We start from the raw sequence: 19500 nt of genomic DNA on the forward strand, positions 1-19500 counted from the left end.
CATCTCTATGGTGTGTGTTGTTCCTGGGGTTCAATTCAGCAAATTTTCCCTGGGCACCCATGTGTTCTTGGCACTGGAAAAGTACCGGGACTGAAACAGTTGATGGCCCAATCCCTGTCCTCTTAAAACCTAAGGGAGGAGATGGAAAGGGGCACCCAACCCAGACTGAGAGACAGGAATTAGCTGCAAGGGGAACTAGGAAAAGCTTCTTTAAGGATGGAGAGGCCCTAGTGGAATGGGGAGATTCTTCCGGGAGAAGCGATGGATGCACAGTTGGGCATCCCCACAGACGGACTGGAAAGAAAAAAGGCCTGGAGGAATCAATGTGCAATGTATGTGTGTTCCCTGGTTCAAGGGCTGGGAACTTTCTCTAAAGGGCCAGGTAGAAAACATTTTAGGCTTTCTAAGCCAAGGCAAAATTGAGGATATTACATGGGTACTTATACAACAAGAATAAACAATTTACACAATTTTTTGTTGACAGAATTCAAAACTTTATAGACACAGAAATGCAAATTTCCTGTAATTTTCCCATGAGAACTATTCTTCTTTTGTTTTGTTTTGCGACAGGGTTGCGCTGATCCTCCCGCCTCAGTCTCCCTAAGTGCTGAGATGTTGCAGGAAGTCAGGGACCCCGAACAGAGAGATCGGCTGGAGCCGTGGCAGAGGAACATAAATTTTGAAGATTTCATTTTAATATGGACACTTATCAGTTCCCAAATAATACTTTTATAATTTTTTATGCCTGTCTTTGCTTTAATCTCTTAATCCTGTTATCTTCATAAGCTAAGGATGTACGTCACCTCAGGACCACTGTGATAATTGTGTTAACTGTACAGATTGATTGCAAAACATGTGTGTTTGAACAATATGAAATCAGTGCACCTTGAAAAAGAGCAGAATAACAGCAATTTTTAGGGAACAAGGGAAGACAACTATAAGGTCTGACTGCCTGCGGGGTCGGGCAAAGGGAGCCATATTTTTCTTCTTGCAGAGAGCCTATAAATAGACCTGCAAGTAGGAGAGATATTGCTAATTTCTTTTGCTAGCATGGAATATTAATATTAACACCCTGGGAAAGGAATGCATTCCTGGGGGGAGGTCTATAAATGGCCGCTCTGGGAATGTCTATCCTACGCAATGGAGATAAGGACTGAGATACGCCCTGGTCTCCTGCAGTACCCTCAGGCTTACTAGGGTGGTGAAAAACTCCGCCCTGGTAAATTTGTGGTCAGACCAGTTTTCTGCTCTCGAACACTGTTTTCTGTTGTTTAAGATGTTTATCAAGACAATACGTGCACCGCTGAACACAGACCCTTATCAGTAGTTCTCCTTTTTGCCCTTTGAAGCATGTGATCTACTCCCTGTTTTACACCCCCTCACCTTTTGAAACCCTTAATAAAAAACTTGCTGGTTTGAGGCTCAGGTGGGCATCACAGTACTACCGATATGTGATGTCACCCCCGGCGGCCCAGCTGTAAAATTCCTCTCTTTGTACTCTCTCTCTTTATTTCTCAGCCAGCTGACACTTATGGAAAATAGAAAGAACCTACGTTGAAATATTGGGGGCAGGTTCCCCCAATATCTGGTGCCCAACGTGGGATACTGAGATTACAAGCATGAGCCACTGCATCTGGCCTCTTCTTTTGATTTTTTTTTTTCAAACTTTTACAAATGTAGAAACCATTCTTAGCTTTTGGGCATTACCAAACCCGGCAGTGGCAGGCTCGGTTCACCAACGTCATTTGCAGTTCCCCGCTTTATGTTATGGGTTTTGTTTTGTTTTGTTTTTTTTATTGAGACAGAGTTTCACTCTTGTTGCCCAGGCTGTAGTGCAATGGTCTGATCTTGGCTCACTGCAACCTCCACTTCCCAGGTTCAAGCCATTCTCCTGCCTCAGCCTCTCAAGTAGCTGGGATTACAGACACTCACCACCACACCTGGCTAATTTTGTATTTTTAGTAGAGATGAGGTTTCACCATGTTGGCCAGGCTGGTCTCGAAATCCTGACCTCAGGTGATCCACCCACCTTGGCCTCCCAAAGTGCTGGGATTACAGGCTTGAGCTACCACGCCTGGCTGGGTTGGTTCTCAATGGAGTGGTTTGTTTTTGGAGCTGCTCTGCGCAGTGGGGACCAGAATAGGCCTGGGTTCCTAGCCCATTGCTATTCCTTACCAGCTGTGGATTCTAAGGAAAGTCATTTAACCTCGCTGGACCTTAGATTCCTCATCCCTGAAGCCCAAGGGTAAAACAAAACAAAACAAAACAAAACAAACCAACCCATCATGTAAAGCGGGGAACTACAAACGATACAGGTGAAACATGCCTACCACACCACTCACAGGCTATGATGACAAAAACGTGGCTACATCTGGGACCACCCCCCAACCCCCACTTTGTACGTAGGAAATACGGAGTTGAGGATGGAGACCCACAGTATGTCCAGAGTGTCCCCAAAGGCCACAGTGCCCGCCTGGAGCCCTCCAGAGAGCGTGCACTCCCTGGGGTGCCAGCCAGAGACAACTTGCCCTGAGGCTTGGAACTCGATTCTCCGCGTGCCAGAGAAGGGGTGGGACTTCAGAACCCCCAACCCCGCAATCTGGGTCGGGGAGCCTGGCGCACTGCGGGCCGCTCCCTCTAACCCTGGGCTTCCCTGGCGTCCAGGGCCGTCGGGGCCGAGTCCCGATTCGCTCCCACCCCGAAGCCGCGCCAGGACCAACGAGGGCGCAGCCGTATGCCCCAGCCCGCTCCGCGGAGCCCCTCACAGCCACCCCCGCCCCGACCGCGCCCCGCGCGGCTCGAAGCACCTTCCCAAGGGGCTGGTCCTTGCGCCATAGTCGCGCCGGAGCCTCTGGAGGGACATCAAGGATTTCTCGCTCCTACCAGCCACCCCCAAATTTTTGGGAGGTACCCAAGGGTGCGCGCGTGGCTCCTGGCGCGCCGAGGCCCTCCCTCGAGGCCCCGCGAGGTGCACACTGCGGGCCCAGGGCTAGCAGCCGCCCGGCACGTCGCTACCCTGAGGGGCGGGGCGGGAGCTGGCGCTAGAAATGCGCCGGGGCCTGCGGGGCAGTTGCGCAAGTTGTGATCGGGCCGCTATAAGAGGGGCGGGCAGGCATGGAGCCCCGTAGGAATCGCAGCGCCAGCGGTTGCAAGGTAAGGCCCCGGCGCGCTCCTTCCTCCTTCTCTGCTGGTCTTTCTTGGCAGGCCACAGGGCCCCACACAACTCTGGATCCCGGGGAAACTGAGTCAGGAGGGATGCAGGGCGGATGGCTTAGTTCTGGACTATGATAGCTTTGTACCGAGTTCTAGCCAGATAGAAGGTTACCGGGAGCTGGGGAGCGTTGGATTTGCTGCTGGGCTGTGCCGGTGCCCAGAAGGCAGGACCTTGCAGAACCAGCCAGGTCCCTGGGAGACTGTCAGACCCACCAACCTGGTGGCATTCGCAGAGCTGAGATGCATTGGAAATTGCCTTGGGCACATCCCCAAAGATCAGGATGTCCCACCCCAGTCTGAAGGAGATAAAGTTGGGGGTAGGAGAGACGCAGATGCAAGTGATCAGTCTCAGTCCCAGACATTGCCTTGCTCTGCGGGTAGGAATTCAGGATTCATTTTCCAGGGAAGTTCCTGACCTCTGAATGAGAGGGGCTGTGTAAGGCCAATGCCTGGGAGGAAGGCAAGGATGAGTAGAGGTGGGGGGAAACAAGTGTCAGGAAGACTCAAAATCTTCCAGAGAAATTGTGCAGGGTCTTACCAGATCTGTCCTCAAAGCCATGCAAATTGCCTTCTTTGCAATGCATACAATGAGGTGTCTCTGGGGGTCAGAACTGGTTATTAGGGAACTTCTAGCCAGGACTGCTAAATACGCGCTGTTGGCCCACCAGGCTCACCTATAGCCTTCCTTCAGTCTGGGCTTGGTTTGGATTTCACTGTGGGTGCCATCGCCTTTACACTCCTGTTTCTATAGTTTAAAGATAGTGGTGCTTTGGGAAAGTGACTCCTTAAATACAGTTAGGTCCAAGTGAGACAAGTGGCCTGGCTGTCATTTCAGAATAGCAGCTTCCAAGAGGTGATTAATTTCTGTTGGAAGGGTGATCTTTGGGGAGGTGGGTGAAGAGCAGAGACTTGGTGGTACCGTTCCAGGAGCACAGGCTCTCTTCCTTTGCAGTGCAGAATGACCTCTGGCAGCCGGAGTTGTGTTTGTTCTGTAGGATTCTGAGGTGGGCCATGGGCAGCTGGAACTGGGGAATTTTGCCAATCTCTTTCATATTAGGATTGTCTGCAGAACCAGATATGGAGGCTTCTAGCAACGTGAGTGCTCCTGTTCTAATGCCCTTAGAAACAAGAAGGCCACACTGATCATTTCTCTCACTTAGGCAGGGAGACAAGGCAAGAGAGAAACAGTGGATGCTTTTAGGTTCTTTCCCTTCCCAAGCAGTTGTGGACATTGGGCTGAGGGGAACATTTCCACATTGGCTAAAGGAGCGTCCTCCTCATATTTTGTACATTTTATACCCAAAATAACTCTTCTTGGTATTTGGGGAAATATTTTCCTCCCCGTCCATTCCAGGAAATGGCTCCAAGTGCCAAGGACAGAGCCAGGGAAGTTGCAATGAATTCCTGCCCGTCAGCCCCAGGCAGATGCCTTGCACGTCTGAGTGGCCCATGCAGAGCGTGGAGGTGGCCGCCACGGAACCTGGGTCAATGTCCCACCCCCGCTTAGATGCCACCAGGGGCGTGGGAGCCAAGGAGAGAAGAGGGGCTCCAGGAAGGTAGAGTCCTTGTGTCTTGTGCATCTGTGAACAGCACTGGTATGATTTAAAGGAAAATTGAGCCAAATTTTCCGGCAGTCAGTTACCCCATCCCCACCGGGGTAGGAGTCTGGCAGCCGCAGCTCCATTCTGGCCAGTCGGCAGAGAGCCTTGAAATTCTTCTTTGTCCACACAGTTGTCTCAGAGAAACAGAGAGGTTGTTTCTGCTTAAAAACAACACACTTGGTGTCTGGGCCCACAGACTCCTTTGCACTTATTCCACGTGTGACAGCCAATGTGCCTCGTTGCTTAGCAGACAGCATGTTACCGTCTTTCCTGCTCAGTTTGTTAGCTCTATGGAATGGAATTTATAATCAATGCCCATACCAACATTTCACTAATATCATAGGAGATTTAGTCTCCATCTGGGTGTACATTACATTTGCTCTGGGGTGCTCCAGGCTGGGGGGTTGCCAAGGAAGAGAAGAGAAACCGCAGAGAAGACGGGAGGGCAGGGCAGGGGTCTCTGAGAAGGGGAGGGGTCCCAGAGTGCAGGAGCAGGAGCCAGGCTCATGAAAGGGGCCACGGGCGGGAGTATCCAGGGACGGCAGTCAAGATGGAGCACAGCTTAGGAAGCTGAAGGGAATCCTGGCCCACCTGGGTGCTAGAGGGCACATAGGAAGTGCAGGAAGCAGACCAAGGTCCCCAAGAGAGGGAGACCTGGACGCTGAAGCATTTTCTGTCTTTATTAAGACAACTCCGTAAGAATTCCTGCTGGGCCAAAGTGAATTCTAGGATGCGACTTTAAGATGGGAGCAAGCGAACCATTGAGGAGGCAGGTTACCCTAGTTAGCCAATGCAGATCGAGAATGGGAAATCTTTCATTTATTCATGCAACAGATATTTAACGAAGCCCTGCCGTGTTCCAGGCCTGTGATAGATGCTGGAACAGGTACAGAGATACAGGTGTCATTAATTGATCAGGGCAACCTCTCCTTCTGAGTCTTGCTGGAGCTTCAGATGCCCCTCACACAGAGCTCGAGGGAGCCTCAACAATTGATCAGAAGTCAGGCACCATGGCTCACGCATATAATCCCAGCACTTTGGGAGGCCAAGGCAGGTGGATCACTGGAGCCCAGGAGTTCCAGATCAGCTGGGGCAACATGGCAAAACCCCATCTCTATTAAAAAAAAAAAAAGTAACTGGATGTGATGGTACACACCTGTAGTCCCAGCTACTTGGGAGGCTGAGAGGTGGGAGAATTGCTTGAGCCCGGGAAGTCGGGGGTCCAGTGAGCCTTGATCACACCACTGCACTCCAGCCTGAGTGACAGAGCAAGACCCTGACACACACACACACACACACACACACACACACACAGATTAGAGCTGAAACAGGAGTAGAAACCTATCTGTATCTCTGATGAGATCAGATCTTTCTGATGAACAGAAAGAATGTAACCCCTGTACTCACACCCTCTCTGCTGGTTACATATGTTAACACGATTTCTCAAATGAGGCTTTTGGTTGCAAATAAGAGAAAATCACTCACGCTGGCCCTGTGTTTTTCAAATTGTTTATTGTGATCAACATTTGAAAAAAGAGCCGAGACTCTCAAGAGTGCATTACCCACGGTAAGGGTGAATTTTACTTCTTGACACTTATTTCTCTTACATGTATCTATCTGTCTCAAATGAAAAATATATTTAGAAAGTTGAAAGCTATCCAAGTGAGTATAAGAAAAGAGTATCTCACCCTGAAGGCTAAGGACAGGGAGGGCCACCAGGCCTCACGAGGACCCAGGAACCACAAAGAAGGCTAGGAAGGAGCACAGGCGGTGACCATACTCTGGCTCAGTGGCTATGTGGGCTCTGGTCTCTCTCAGCTGTTCCATGCATATGAGGCCAAATGTGGCTACCCTAGAGCTTCTGAGCCCTCAACAGAGATGAACTGGACTCTCTGCAGCCCCACTCTAAATTCCTAAGAGAGAAGTTGATTGACCCAATCAGGGTCAGGAGAAGGAAGGGAGGAGGAAAGGGAGGAGAGAAGAGCCTCTTCGTCTCTTGCCTACCACTGGCCAGGCAATTGTAGCCAAGGGGGCTGGAGTGTAAATGCAAACATAGCCATCAAGGGTTGTGTATGTGTGTGTGTGTGTCTGTGTGTGTGTATGTGTGTCTCTTGGGTAGGTTAGATCTCCCAGGAGGTCCCTACTAAACAGACTTAAGCCCGCAAAATTTTAGCTCTCCAGCCTCACACACTCCACCCCTCTACCATATTGAATCTTCCCAAACCAACTATGGCTTTCCCTAACTCCGGAGCTTGGCCTGGAATGCCCTGCTTCCCCTCTTTCCCCTGGGGAACGCCTGTCCTTCAGGCCTCAGTTCACACACTGCCTCCCTTGCAAAGCTCTCCTCCCATCCCCGGAGTCCCTCTTCCCCTTTGTTCTTTGGGTTCTATGCTTCTTCCCTCATAACTCCCACCAGGTTGTGTTAAAATGAGTTGTTCAAGGTCCTGTCTGTTCCACTAGATTCTGAGCAACTTGGAGAACGAAGATCCAAACTTCGCTGCCTTTATTTCCTCCTTTGTTCTTTTCTCATCCCCAAGTCCCTTCCAACTTGGAGTTATGAAGAAAGGAAGGAAGGAAGGGTGGGAGGGAAGAACAGGAGGGGATCCCACAGGAGAATGTGTATAGGGAGAGGACTCAGACTAGCTAAAGCTTTTCCCTCATAATTAATAGCAAATACCATGTTACCTGAATTTAATTCACAGTAGCATACAAAAGACTCGCTTTGTTCTCCCCATTGATGTCATCAGAGGGCTGTGGGCAGGCCTAATCTTGGCTCAGGAGGCCCTCCAGCCTGGATCTAAAGAGCAGCAGATGGGCCAGGCTCGGTGGCTCATGCCTGTAATCCCAGCATTTTGGGAGGCCGAGGCGGGTGGATCACGAGGTCAGGAGTTTGAGACCAGCCTGGCCAAGATGGTGAAGCCTCGTCTCTACTAAAAATACAAAAATTAGCCAGGTGCGGTGGTGGGCGCCTGTATTTCCAGCTACCCGGGAGGCTGAGGAGGCTGAGGCAGGAGAATCGCTTGAACCCGGGAGGCGGAGGTTGCAGTGAGCCGAGGTCACGCCACTGCACTCTAGCCTGGGCAACAGAGCAAGACTCCGTCAAAAAAAAAATAAAAAAATAAAAAAATAAAAAAAATAAAGAGGAGCACACATCTCTGCCCATCCTAACTCCCACTTTGACATTGAGGTCCCCAGGATGGAGGGTCTGCCTCCATCTGCCTTGTCCCCTGCAATGGTGGGAAGGTGATGGAGCTCAAGTCTAGAGGCCACCAGCTTCTTAGGGAGGTAGGAGGTGGAGGGTGGGGTGCGGGCCCTGCACACAACTGCCAAGTGAGGATGGGGGTGGGGTCCACCTGAGGATAAGTAACAGTGAGGCTGGTGCAGAGGACCCAGGTGGAGGTAGACAGCAGAATTTGTGGTGGGGTGGATGGCACATTATATAAGCCTCTCTTGCTGCCCTGTTTACTGAGATTGTTTCATTATCTTTTTTGGCTTTTGTTTTTAAGAGATGGGGTCTTGCTGTGTCACACAGGCTGGAGTGCACTGTGTGATCATACCTCACTGCAGCCTCGACATCCTGGGCTCAGGCAAACCTCCCACCTTGGCCTCCCAAGTAGCTGGGACCACAAGCGTTTGCCACCACACTCAGCTATTTTTATTTTTATTTTTATTTTTTTTAGAGATGGGGTCTTGCTGTGTCGCCCAGGCTGGTCTTGAACTCCTGGGCTCAAGCGATCCTCCTGCCTTGGCCTCCCAAAGCCCTGGGATTATAGGCTGAGCCACCACACCCAGCCACATTTCATCTGTGCAGCTCCAGGGGCTCCACATTCTACTCTTCTCATTTCTTCTCCAGGGTACCCATGGCAAGGGATGAGGGTAGAAGATGGGGCAGCCAGGCCTTGATTAAAGGAGAAGGAAGGCAGCCTGTGGAGAGGGCAGCCCAGGGAGTGCAGAGAGAAGTGGGCCATGAGGGAGACAGCAGAGTGCAGGCTGCGTCCCAAATGAGCATACAGCCCACTGTGAGCCCACCATCTTCCTAGAGACCCCTCTCCTCTCCAGGAGCTGCTTCAGTAGCACTCAGAGGAAAGAATGATGCTGTATCAACATTTCAGCAGCTCATCTTTTAACTCTAAGAAAATGGCAGCTCCTAAATGTTCAAAACTGCTTTGGAAACTTCTGGAGAGAGGTTTTGCAGCTCAGGCAGACAGCTGATCGCGGCCTTTCTTCCACCCCAACCCATGCTCTCCCCATGCTCTCCTGCCACAGCTGCAGCGGGCCCCTGGGTCCTACATTTGCAGCCCTTTGTCTCTGAGCTCAGACTTCCAATTCCAAGCGGCAGCTGGGCAGGCTCACCAGCATGTCCAGCCAGTACTAGGACATCAGCAGGAGCCCAACCACCTCTTTCCAAAATCTCTCCTCATGTCTCTCCTAGTTTCCATCTCCATCCTTCTAGTCAGCCAGGCTGAAAACATTTGCTCCTCAGGGTGCAGAAGGGAAAGCTTTGCCTCCCTTCCTGGTGCTCACTGCCCCTGCGATTCCAGCCCAAGCCCTCCCCGGCTCCTCACCCTGGTGTCAGCTGGAAGCCACCATCTCCTAAACCCACCTGTGTTCTTCCACCTCTGCCAGGGCTGCCCTCTCCTCCACCTTCACAAACTCAATTCCTACCCATTCTCAGGTCCCTTATCAAATGCCATCTCCTCCATGATGCCTCCCTGATTCCCCTGCTGGAAATAATGGTGATAACAGCTAAGGCATTGGGGTTGGCTACGTGCCAGGCAAGGAGTTGGCACTTTACATGCTTTATCTCATTTCAGCCACATAACATCGACAGGTGGCATTATGATTCATATCATCCCCATCTGATAGCCAGGAAAACTGAGTCCCAGAGAGGTTAGCCACTTTCCTAGGGCCCTGTGCTCTGACTCAAGCATAGCTCTGAGGAACTCTAGCATTCATCAGTTTAAGCACCATGACTTTCTTTGCTGAGTCACCCAAGGCATTTCTTCATTTAAATGTTCTTCCTTGGCCAGGCGCAGTGGCTCAGGCCCAATGCGGTGGCTCACGCCTGTAATCTCAACACTTTGGGAGGCCGAGGTGGGCAGATAATCTGAGGTCAGGAGTTCAAGACCAGCCTGGCCAACATGGTGAAACCCCATCTCTACTAAAAATACAAAAAAATGAGGCTGGGCGTGATGACTCACACCTGTAATCCCAGCACTTTGGGAGGCCAAGGCAGGTGGATTACATGAGGTCAGGAGTTCGAGACCAGCCTGGCCAACATGGTGAAATCCTATCTCTATTAAAAATACAAAAAATTAGCCAGGCATGGTGGCAGGCACCTGTAATCCCAGCTACTTGGGAGGCTGAGGCAGGAAAATGGCTTGAACCCGGGAGGTGGAGGTTGCAGTGAGCCAAGGTTGCACCATTGCACTCCAGCCTGGGCAAAAAGAGGGAAACATCGTCTAAAAAAGAAAAAAAAAAAATTAGCCAGGCTGGGTGGTGCATGCCCGTAATTCCAGCTACTCAGGAGGATGAAGCAAGAGAATTGCTTGAACCCAGGAGGCAGAGATTACAGTGAGCTGAGATCACAACACTGCACTCCAGCCTAGGTAAAGAACAAGACTCCATCTCAAAAATAAATAAATAAAAATAAATGTTCTTCCTTGCAATGAAGTTAAATATGTAAATTCTCAAACCAGTTGCTTAAGGGCACAGTTTTGTTCTTTACCTATATTTTTAACAAATATTTTATGTAAGTAGTTGACAAAATCAAATACTGTGTACACTACCGAGGCTTCCCTGGGAAAGCCATCAGCCTCTGCCCCATCCCTTCCCACTCCTGATTCCACTTTCCTGTGTTTCCATATCTTTTTCATGTCTGTTTCTGGCCCACAGTGGGCGATCAATACATGTTAGCCACCAACCATCAAACCTATATTGAGTAATTATGGTATGTCAGGCACTATGCTCAATGAAATTGTATTAGGCTTGTACAAAAGTAATTGTGGTTTTTAAGAGTAATGGCAAAAACGGCAGTTACTTTCGCACCAACTATTTGCTGCCTTGAATTATTCCTCCTCTCCTCATCCCTAAACCCTGCTCCTCCCAGCCATTCTTCCTCCCCTTCTTGGGCCATGGCCAGGCCCCACCCAGGTACTAAGACTCAGGTGAACCAAGGAAGACTTAATGCCCACTCTTTTCTGATGCCCATGTTGGCATGTGTTAAGTCGGTTAGCATTAAGTTTGGCTGCATTTAGCAGAGACCCAAAAGAACAGTGCCTTTTAAAAGGCAGAGGTTATGTCTCTCACACACACCCAGCACAAGTCCAAGACCAGCATGGCATCTCAGCTCCATCAACCTCAGGAACCGAGCTCCTGCAGCTCCCTGCCCTGCAGTTGATAAGGTGAGGTCTTTGTCCTCCTGGTTCAAGATGGTGCTAGAATGTTGGCTACCATATCTATAGTCCAGGCATCAGAATGGAGCAAGGGATGAAAAAGGAAGAGATGAAGGCACACGACAGGTTCCTGAGAGCTGGCACAGGACACTTCTGCTTATATTTCACTGGCCAGAACTTAGTCACATGGTCACACCTAGTTGGGAGACTCTGAGAAGTAAAGTATTTATTCTAGATGGCCATATCCCTACCTAAGACTTGGAGTTTTCTATGACTGGGGAAGAACGGAAGACAAGATATTGGGAAAGACTAGCAGCCTCTACTAAAAGGGTGATCTGTGTTGATGTGCGTGTGTGTGTGATGTTTGTATGAGCATGTGTGTTATGTGTTGTGTGTTGGTGGGGCAGATTCTTGCGAGCACTTTGGTCTCAGATGGACCTGCTACCAGTTCTCTCTGCAGACCCCCATAGGTTTCTCCTAAACCTGGCCTCTCCTATTAGGCAGCCTTACTCAGCGGCAGCTTCTCAGCTCCATGTTTTCAAGGAACCACAATTTATTTCCAGCATCCACTGAAGCATATTATCAGTGGTGATAGAGGGGGCTTGTAAAACTGTTTTTCCACTTAGGTATTAGAGGGTGGCCATTATTTGAGAGTGACTATGACCACAGTTAATCTGGTAATAAATTCTCTTGGGTAGGAGGAAAGGAAAGGATGCTTTAAGGAAGCATCTTGCCAGGAGACACAAAGCTAACAAGAGTGGAGCCTGCAGCTGGAGCCGCAGAGCCTAATCACTACACCCGCCCATCTCTGCTAGGGTTTCATGACTTCGTATCGGGGATTAGCAGTATTTAACTCTGTTGCACAAACATTTGGTGTATTATTCAGGTAACAAGTAGCTAATAGAGGAAGTTTTACTTTTTTAAGACATAAATTTGCCTTTTCCCAAATTACTTGGTACATAGTACTTTTCATGTTTGAAGTTGAGATGTGGGTACAATACCATAGCTTTATTCCAGAGCAGGGTATTTGTTTCCAAATGCCATGTTCCCAGCAGCTGCCCTTGACTGGGAATTGGGGTGTGATTTGGGCTTTTCCTTAAATCCTTGAGGAGCTGGAGGGGTGGGTGGCTCGCACTCCTGCTTTCTGGATCTGAATCCTGACTCTGTCATGGACCTGTTTGACTTTGGGCAAGTTGACTCCTATTCCTGAGCCCCATATTTTTCTCTTCTGTGAAATTCAGATTAAAAAAACATGGCTTTGATCAAACATTATAAATAATATATAGACAGACTGCTTGTTTTTATTGTATTGCCAGAAATGAATCCTACTAATATTGCCATCTATGGACAGAAAATGTATTACCTGTCTTCATCAAGACCCAGACGAGGAAGAACACGAAAAGCGGAGATTAATTTTACTGCCATCTCCAGAACCGTCATCCTAATATTTACTTACATTTTATTATTATTTCAGGCTCATGCACATATACTTAGCATGGATCATTGGCCACAGACTCGCATACATTTAACTTTATTACCTTTTGCCTCATGTATCTCATTAAAATTTTGCTGCTTAATCAAGGATCTGCATATTATTTTAATTTTAGAATTCACAGTTCCAAGACTTTGAAAGTTTCAAGCGTTCTGGGTGAATGTGTTATGCTCTCTCCCGCCACCATGTCTTTATACCCCCTGATTTCTCAGCCACTATGGCAACCACTTTCTACTCTTAGTAGCCCATATTTAGTCCAATCCCCAGCTCAGGAGACACTTCTTCCAGGGAGCCCCCTGTGCCTTCCAGTAGTATCTTGTACCTGCCCTTTTTGCAAAGCTCTTTCCTCCTGGCTTAGAATGGCCCATTGACCTGTTTGTTTCTCCTATTAAACTGTAAGCCACTCGAGGGTAGAGAGCATCTGTTGTTCACCATTGCATCCTCGGTGCTGAGCACTGCGTCTGACATATTATTTAGAAGGTCAGTAAGTGCTAGTGGGATTCAGGCTCCCAGTGGGTGGGAGAGAAAGGACGTAAGGAAGCAAGTGGTAAAGGCCCTCACAGAGTATCAGCAGGCTGGTGTGAGGGAGAAATGCAGAGGATGGGTGAGTAGCATAATCGCTAATGATAGGGTAATGATAGAGCACATTTCACAACACCTTTAAGCCCTTTCACGTGCATCAGATAATTTGATCCTCATAAAAGCCTAGAGATAGATATATTACAGGGATGAAGGTGGAGTATTTTGTGGTTATGTGATATGTTTAAAATTATGCAGTGAGTAAATGACTGGGTTCAAACCAGACCTTAAAAGTCTGTTATCTTTCCCTCGAGCATGCAATGAAGTCTACATCATCCCTACCATGTCCATTTGATCACACCCTGGCCTCACAGCTCTGTGGTCTACAGGATACCTCATGGTGGTTTTATTGACCAGACAATAATCCTCTTTCTAAGGGGATGCATTTCATTAATACATATGTAGATCATGAATTGTCTTTGACTTTGAGGGGATGGTAGCCAGAGCAGAAAGCAAAGCTGATTTTCATCCCCGTCTGGTAATGTGGTTGGTAATGTGAAGATGGGTGTATTCTGAGATACCGGCTCCTTGCAGTGTGTGGTTCCTTCTGTTTTCAGGCCCAAGAAGCCCATCCTGGGAAGGAAAATGCATTGGGGAACCCTGTGCGGATTCTTGTGGCTTTGGCCCTATCTTTTCTATGTCCAAGCTGTGCCCATCCAAAAAGTCCAAGATGACACCAAAACCCTCATCAAGACAATTGTCACCAGGATCAATGACATTTCACACACGGTAAGGAGAGTATGCGGGGACAAAGTAGAACTGCAGCCAGCCCAGCACTGGCTCCTAGTGGCACTGGACCCAGATAGTCCAAGAAACATTTATTGAACGCCTCCTGAATGCCAGGCACCTACTGGAAGCTGAGAAGGATTTGAAAGCACAGGGCTCCACTCTTTCTGGTTGTTTCTTTTGGCCCCTCTGCCTGCTGAGATTCCAGGGGTTAGTGGTTCTAATTCTAAACCACTCCAAGAACATTTGATTTTGCTACATGTTTCCATTTAAAAATCATAGGATTTGGGCTGGGTGTGGTGGCTTGTACCTGTCATCCCAGCACTTTGGGAGGCCAAAGCAGGAGGATCATTCGAGCCCAAGAGTTCGAGACCAGCCTGGGCAGCATAGGGAGACCCCATCTCTACAAAAATAATAAAAAATGTTAGCTGGGCATGGTGGTGTGTACCTGTGGTCCCAGCTAGGGGAGGCTGAGATGGAAGGATCACCTGAGCCTGGGAGGTTGAGGCTGCAGTGGGCCCTGATCATGCCACCGTGCTCCAGCCTGGGTGACAGAGTGAGACCTTGTCTCAAAATAAATAAATAAATAAATAAAAGTCATAGGATTTGATCAGGCATGATGGGTCACATCTGTAAGCCCATTGCTTTAGGAGGCCAAGGTAGGAGGATCAGTTGAGGCCAGGAGTTCAAGACCAGCCTGGGCAACATGGCAAGACCTCTCTCTCTAATTTTTAAAAAAATAAAAATTAAAGATAAGAAAAAAATCATAGGATTCTCATGAGGCCTCACGTGCTTATTTTCAACCTACCAAGGGGAAACCCAGGCCTCAGCGATTAGCTGAGCCACATGCAGGCACAGCCACTGTCTCTTTCCTTCCTGTCCCCTCTGTCCCCACCTTCTGCGCTCGCCTTCCTCCCTGACTTCACTTCCTTGAATCTTAGTGCCTACGACCAGAGGGAGCTGTGAAGTTCCTTGTGTCCCATTGGCAGGAACAAGACCCCCAGAAGCATCTCCTCAGGGCCTCTATCCCATCTCTAGATGTGCTTGTCATTAGGGTTCTTGTAGTTCCAGCTGATCTCTGGCCCTGCCGCTCAAAGATACCCAAAAGAGCGAGTCTACCCTTTTTCACATTCAACCCTCTACTGATTTGCAAATAGCAGTCAGTGCCCACCCTGGTCTTTTCTCTGGGGTCCAGCAGGCCTAGACCTTCAGCCATTTTCCTGATGAGGTCTGTATTTGAAATTAGGAAGATTAAGTTTGAATCTTCACACTTCTGATGTCTGTGAGATCTTCAGCAAGTTCCTTACTGTCTTTAAGCCTTGTTTTCATCATCTGGATAATGGGGATATCACACACTATTCACAAGGTTGTTATGAGGCCTAAATTAGCTAAAGCAATTGAATCCTCCTTACCCCCTGCATGGAGCTCTCTGGAGACTTCCACGTCTCCTGGTCATTGTGGGTGTCTTATGGTAGTCTTGGGCAGTTAGGGAGAAGTTAGGTGTCTGGAAGCAAAGATGGCTCAGAACTAGATAGAGTCTTGGGCATTTTATAGATAAAAACTCTTGTCTCCTTTAAAAATAATAAAAAAAAATTAGCTGGGCATATTAGCCACTCAGCAAGACTGCACGTGATAGATCCCGAGTGCCCCACCTTGGGTGGTGTAATACACAATATCACGGGAGCCCCGGGTAGTAACCACGGAGGTGTCAGCCTCAGTGCTGTGGGCAGATGGATGGGGAGAGCCTCCCGGAACTGGAGTCACTGGAGCAGGGTTGGGGGGCCTCACTGAGGGTACGGCCTTGATCTCTAAGGAGGAGGGACTGCCTGGAAAAGCTGACTGGGAGGGAGGACTCGGCTGGGGGTAGAAGGGACTAGGGAAGGCTGGGGGTGGGGGTGCTTATGGAGGACCTCAGATGCCTGGGGAACAGACTCCACTAAATAAAACATATGAAACCATGGCTGGTTCTTCAGCAGAGGCCATGTAGAGAAAGGAATGACCTAGGAAAGTTGGCCTGGAAGTGGAGGGAAGGATGGTGTGGGAAAAGCAGGAATCTCGGAGACCAGCTTAGAGGCTTGGCAGTCACCTGGGTGCAGGATACAAGGGCCTGAGCCAAAGTGGTGAGGGAGGGTGGAAGGAGGCAGCCCAGAGAATGACCCTCCATGCCCACGGGGAAGGCAGAGGGCTCTGAGAGCGATTCCTCCCACATGCTGAGCACTTGTTCTCCCTCTTCCTCCTGCATAGCAGTCAGTCTCCTCCAAACAGAAAGTCACCGGTTTGGACTTCATTCCTGGGCTCCACCCCATCCTGACCTTATCCAAGATGGACCAGACACTGGCAGTCTACCAACAGATCCTCACCAGTATGCCTTCCAGAAACGTGATCCAAATATCCAACGACCTGGAGAACCTCCGGGATCTTCTTCACGTGCTGGCCTTCTCTAAGAGCTGCCACTTGCCCTGGGCCAGTGGCCTGGAGACCTTGGACAGCCTGGGGGGTGTCCTGGAAGCTTCAGGCTACTCCACAGAGGTGGTGGCCCTGAGCAGGCTGCAGGGGTCTCTGCAGGACATGCTGTGGCAGCTGGACCTCAGCCCTGGGTGCTGAGGCCTTGAAGGTCACTCTTCCTGCAAGGACTACGTTAAGGGAAGGAACTCTGGCTTCCAGGTATCTCCAGGATTGAAGAGCATTGCATGGACACCCCTTATCCAGGACTCTGTCAATTTCCCTGACTCCTCTAAGCCACTCTTCCAAAGGCATAAGACCCTAAGCCTCCTTTTGCTTGAAACCAAAGATATATACACAGGATCCTATTCTCACCAGGAAGGGGGTCCACCCAGCAAAGAGTGGGCTGCATCTGGGATTCCCACCAAGGTCTTCAGCCATCAACAAGAGTTGTCTTGTCCCCTCTTGACCCATCTCCCCCTCACTGAATGCCTCAATGTGACCAGGGGTGATTTCAGAGAGGGCAGAGGGGTAGGCAGAGCCTTTGGATGACCAGAACAAGGTTCCCTCTGAGAATTCCAAGGAGTTCCATGAAGACCACATCCACACACGCAGGAACTCCCAGCAACACAAGCTGGAAGCACATGTTTATTTATTCTGCATTTTATTCTGGATGGATTTGAAGCAAAGCACCAGCTTCTCCAGGCTCTTTGGGGTCAGCCAGGGCCAGGGGTCTCCCTGGAGTGCAGTTTCCAATCCCATAGATGGGTCTGGCTGAGCTGAACCCATTTTGAGTGACTCGAGGGTTGGGTTCATCTGAGCAAGAGCTGGCAAAGGTGGCTCTCCAGTTAGTTCTCTCGTAACTGGTTTCATTTCTACTGTGACTGATGTTACATCACAGTGTTTGCAATGGTGTTGCCCTGAGTGGATCTCCAAGGACCAGGTTATTTTAAAAAGATTTGTTTTGTCAAGTGTCATATGTAGGTGTCTGCACCCAGGGGTGGGGAATGTTTGGGCAGAAGGGAGAAGGATCTAGAATGTGTTTTCTGAATAACATTTGTGTGGTGGGTTCTTTGGAAGGAGTGAGATCATTTTCTTATCTTCTGCAATTGCTTAGGATGTTTTTCATGAAAATAGCTCTTTCAGGGGGGTTGTGAGGCCTGGCCAGGCACCCCCTGGAGAGAAGTTTCTGGCCCTGGCTGACCCCAAAGAGCCTGGAGAAGCTGATGCTTTGCTTCAAATCCATCCAGAATAAAACGCAAAGGGCTGAAAGCCATTTGTTGGGGCAGTGGTAAGCTCTGGCTTTCTCCGACTGCTAGGGAGTGGTCTTTCCTATCATGGAGTGACGGTCCCACACTGGTGACTGCGATCTTCAGAGCAGGGGTCCTTGGTGTGACCCTCTGAATGGTCCAGGGTTGATCACACTCTGGGTTTATTACATGGCAGTGTTCCTATTTGGGGCTTGCATGCCAAATTGTAGTTCTTGTCTGATTGGCTCACCCAAGCAAGGCCAAAATTACCAAAAATCTTGGGGGGTTTTTACTCCAGTGGTGAAGAAAACTCCTTTAGCAGGTGGTCCTGAGACCTGACAAGCACTGCTAGGCGAGTGCCAGGACTCCCCAGGCCAGGCCACCAGGATGGCCCTTCCCACTGGAGGTCACATTCAGGAAGATGAAAGAGGAGGTTTGGGGTCTGCCACCATCCTGCTGCTGTGTTTTTGCTATCACACAGTGGGTGGTGGATCTGTCCAAGGAAACTTGAATCAAAGCAGTTAACTTTAAGACTGAGCACCTGCTTCATGCTCAGCCCTGACTGGTGCTATAGGCTGGAGAAGCTCACCCAATAAACATTAAGATTGAGGCCTGCCCTCAGGGATCTTGCATTCCCAGTGGTCAAACCGCACTCACCCATGTGCCAAGGTGGGGTATTTACCACAGCAGCTGAACAGCCAAATGCATGGTGCAGTTGACAGCAGGTGGGAAATGGTATGAGCTGAGGGGGGCCGTGCCCAGGGGCCCACAGGGAACCCTGCTTGCACTTTGTAACATGTTTACTTTTCAGGGCATCTTAGCTTCTATTATAGCCACATCCCTTTGAAACAAGATAACTGAGAATTTAAAAATAAGAAAATACATAAGACCATAACAGCCAACAGGTGGCAGGACCAGGACTATAGCCCAGGTCCTCTGATACCCAGAGCATTACGTGAGCCAGGTAATGAGGGACTGGAACCAGGGAGACCGAGCGCTTTCTGGAAAAGAGGAGTTTCGAGGTAGAGTTTGAAGGAGGTGAGGGATGTGAATTGCCTGCAGAGAGAAGCCTGTTTTGTTGGAAGGTTTGGTGTGTGGAGATGCAGAGGTAAAAGTGTGAGCAGTGAGTTACAGCGAGAGGCAGAGAAAGAAGAGACAGGAGGGCAAGGGCCATGCTGAAGGGACCTTGAAGGGTAAAGAAGTTTGATATTAAAGGAGTTAAGAGTAGCAAGTTCTAGAGAAGAGGCTGGTGCTGTGGCCAGGGTGAGAGCTGCTCTGGAAAATGTGACCCAGATCCTCACAACCACCTAATCAGGCTGAGGTGTCTTAAGCCTTTTGCTCACAAAACCTGGCACAATGGCTAATTCCCAGAGTGTGAAACTTCCTAAGTATAAATGGTTGTCTGTTTTTGTAACTTAAAAAAAAAAAAAAAAGTTTGGCCGGGTGCGGTGGCTCACGCCTGTAATCCCAGCACTTTGGGAGGCCAAGGTGGGGGGATCACAAGGTCACTAGATGGCGAGCATCCTGGCCAACATGGTGAAACCCCGTCTCTACTAAAAACACAAAAGTTAGCTGAGCGTGGTGGCGGGCGCCTGTAGTCCCAGCCACTCGGGAGGCTGAGACAGGAGAATCGCTTAAACCTGGGAGGCGGAGAGTACAGTGAGCCAAGATCGCGCCACTGCACTCCGGCCTGATGACAGAGCGAGATTCCGTCTTAAAAAAAAAAAAAAAAAAGTTTGTTTTTAAAAAAATCTAAATAAAATAACTTTGCCCCCTGCTCTTTGTTTCCTGTCGCCGTTCCT

The 19500-nt window shown here is 49.3% G+C and overlaps 1 protein-coding gene across 2 annotated transcripts, besides 15 other annotated features; it reads left to right on the top strand.

Moving 5' to 3' along the window:
- Positions 203-3153: a promoter, noted in NCBI's record as "-2.9kb/HindIII to +30 promoter fragment". NCBI's record gives the evidence for it as "EXISTENCE:reporter gene assay evidence [ECO:0000049][PMID:8643605]".
- Positions 570-603: a protein binding site, noted in NCBI's record as "-2548 SNP probe; binding preferred on AA genotype at rs7799039". NCBI's record gives its function as "mediates response to insulin" and the evidence as "EXISTENCE:protein binding evidence [ECO:0000024][PMID:19408304]".
- Positions 669-1584: a mobile genetic element, noted in NCBI's record as "LTR from HERVK-related endogenous retrovirus HERVK11".
- Positions 1174-1579: a transcriptional cis regulatory region, noted in NCBI's record as "-1951 to -1546". NCBI's record gives its function as "mediates response to insulin to promote transcription" and the evidence as "EXISTENCE:reporter gene assay evidence [ECO:0000049][PMID:23718986]".
- Positions 1174-1579: an enhancer, noted in NCBI's record as "-1951 to -1546". NCBI's record gives its function as "enhancer in JEG-3 and JAR choriocarcinoma cells" and the evidence as "EXISTENCE:reporter gene assay evidence [ECO:0000049][PMID:9374555]".
- Positions 1175-1198: a protein binding site, noted in NCBI's record as "PLE1". NCBI's record gives the evidence for it as "EXISTENCE:protein binding evidence [ECO:0000024][PMID:10542267]".
- Positions 1179-1238: an enhancer, noted in NCBI's record as "60 bp core enhancer". NCBI's record gives its function as "enhancer in JEG-3 and JAR choriocarcinoma cells" and the evidence as "EXISTENCE:reporter gene assay evidence [ECO:0000049][PMID:9374555]".
- Positions 1196-1231: a protein binding site, noted in NCBI's record as "PLE2". NCBI's record gives the evidence for it as "EXISTENCE:protein binding evidence [ECO:0000024][PMID:9374555]".
- Positions 1216-1251: an enhancer, noted in NCBI's record as "PLE3". NCBI's record gives its function as "enhancer in JEG-3 and JAR choriocarcinoma cells" and the evidence as "EXISTENCE:reporter gene assay evidence [ECO:0000049][PMID:9374555]".
- Positions 1583-1612: a protein binding site, noted in NCBI's record as "HRE-3". NCBI's record gives the evidence for it as "EXISTENCE:protein binding evidence [ECO:0000024][PMID:17653093]".
- Positions 2483-2512: a protein binding site, noted in NCBI's record as "HRE-2". NCBI's record gives the evidence for it as "EXISTENCE:protein binding evidence [ECO:0000024][PMID:17653093]".
- Positions 2907-3153: a promoter, noted in NCBI's record as "-217/KpnI to +30 promoter". NCBI's record gives the evidence for it as "EXISTENCE:reporter gene assay evidence [ECO:0000049][PMID:8643605]".
- Positions 2996-3019: a protein binding site, noted in NCBI's record as "HRE-1 (-116 HRE); HIF1alpha/beta site". NCBI's record gives its function as "mediates response to hypoxia to promote transcription" and the evidence as "EXISTENCE:protein binding evidence [ECO:0000024][PMID:12084725, PMID:12215445]".
- Positions 3071-3079: a transcriptional cis regulatory region, noted in NCBI's record as "CEBP site". NCBI's record gives its function as "responds to Cebpa to positively regulate transcription" and the evidence as "EXISTENCE:reporter gene assay evidence [ECO:0000049][PMID:8643605]".
- Positions 3095-3099: a TATA box. NCBI's record gives the evidence for it as "COORDINATES:motif similarity evidence [ECO:0000028][PMID:8643605]".
- On the top strand, positions 3125-19476 carry LEP (leptin). 2 transcript variants are annotated; one of them, NM_000230.3, is made up of 3 exons: positions 3125-3153; positions 13838-14009; positions 16251-19476. In NM_000230.3, exons 2-3 carry the CDS (start codon positions 13866-13868, stop codon positions 16608-16610), a joined length of 504 nt encoding a protein of 167 aa, NP_000221.1. In that variant the 5' UTR covers positions 3125-3153; positions 13838-13865; the 3' UTR covers positions 16611-19476. The 2 variants fall into 2 exon arrangements, with proteins under 2 accessions (NP_000221.1, XP_005250397.1); XM_005250340.6 differs by having other exon boundaries at positions 16254-19476.

This window comes from Homo sapiens, chromosome 7 (genome assembly GCF_000001405.40).
Source record: "Homo sapiens chromosome 7, GRCh38.p14 Primary Assembly".
NCBI lineage: Eukaryota > Metazoa > Chordata > Mammalia > Primates > Hominidae > Homo > Homo sapiens.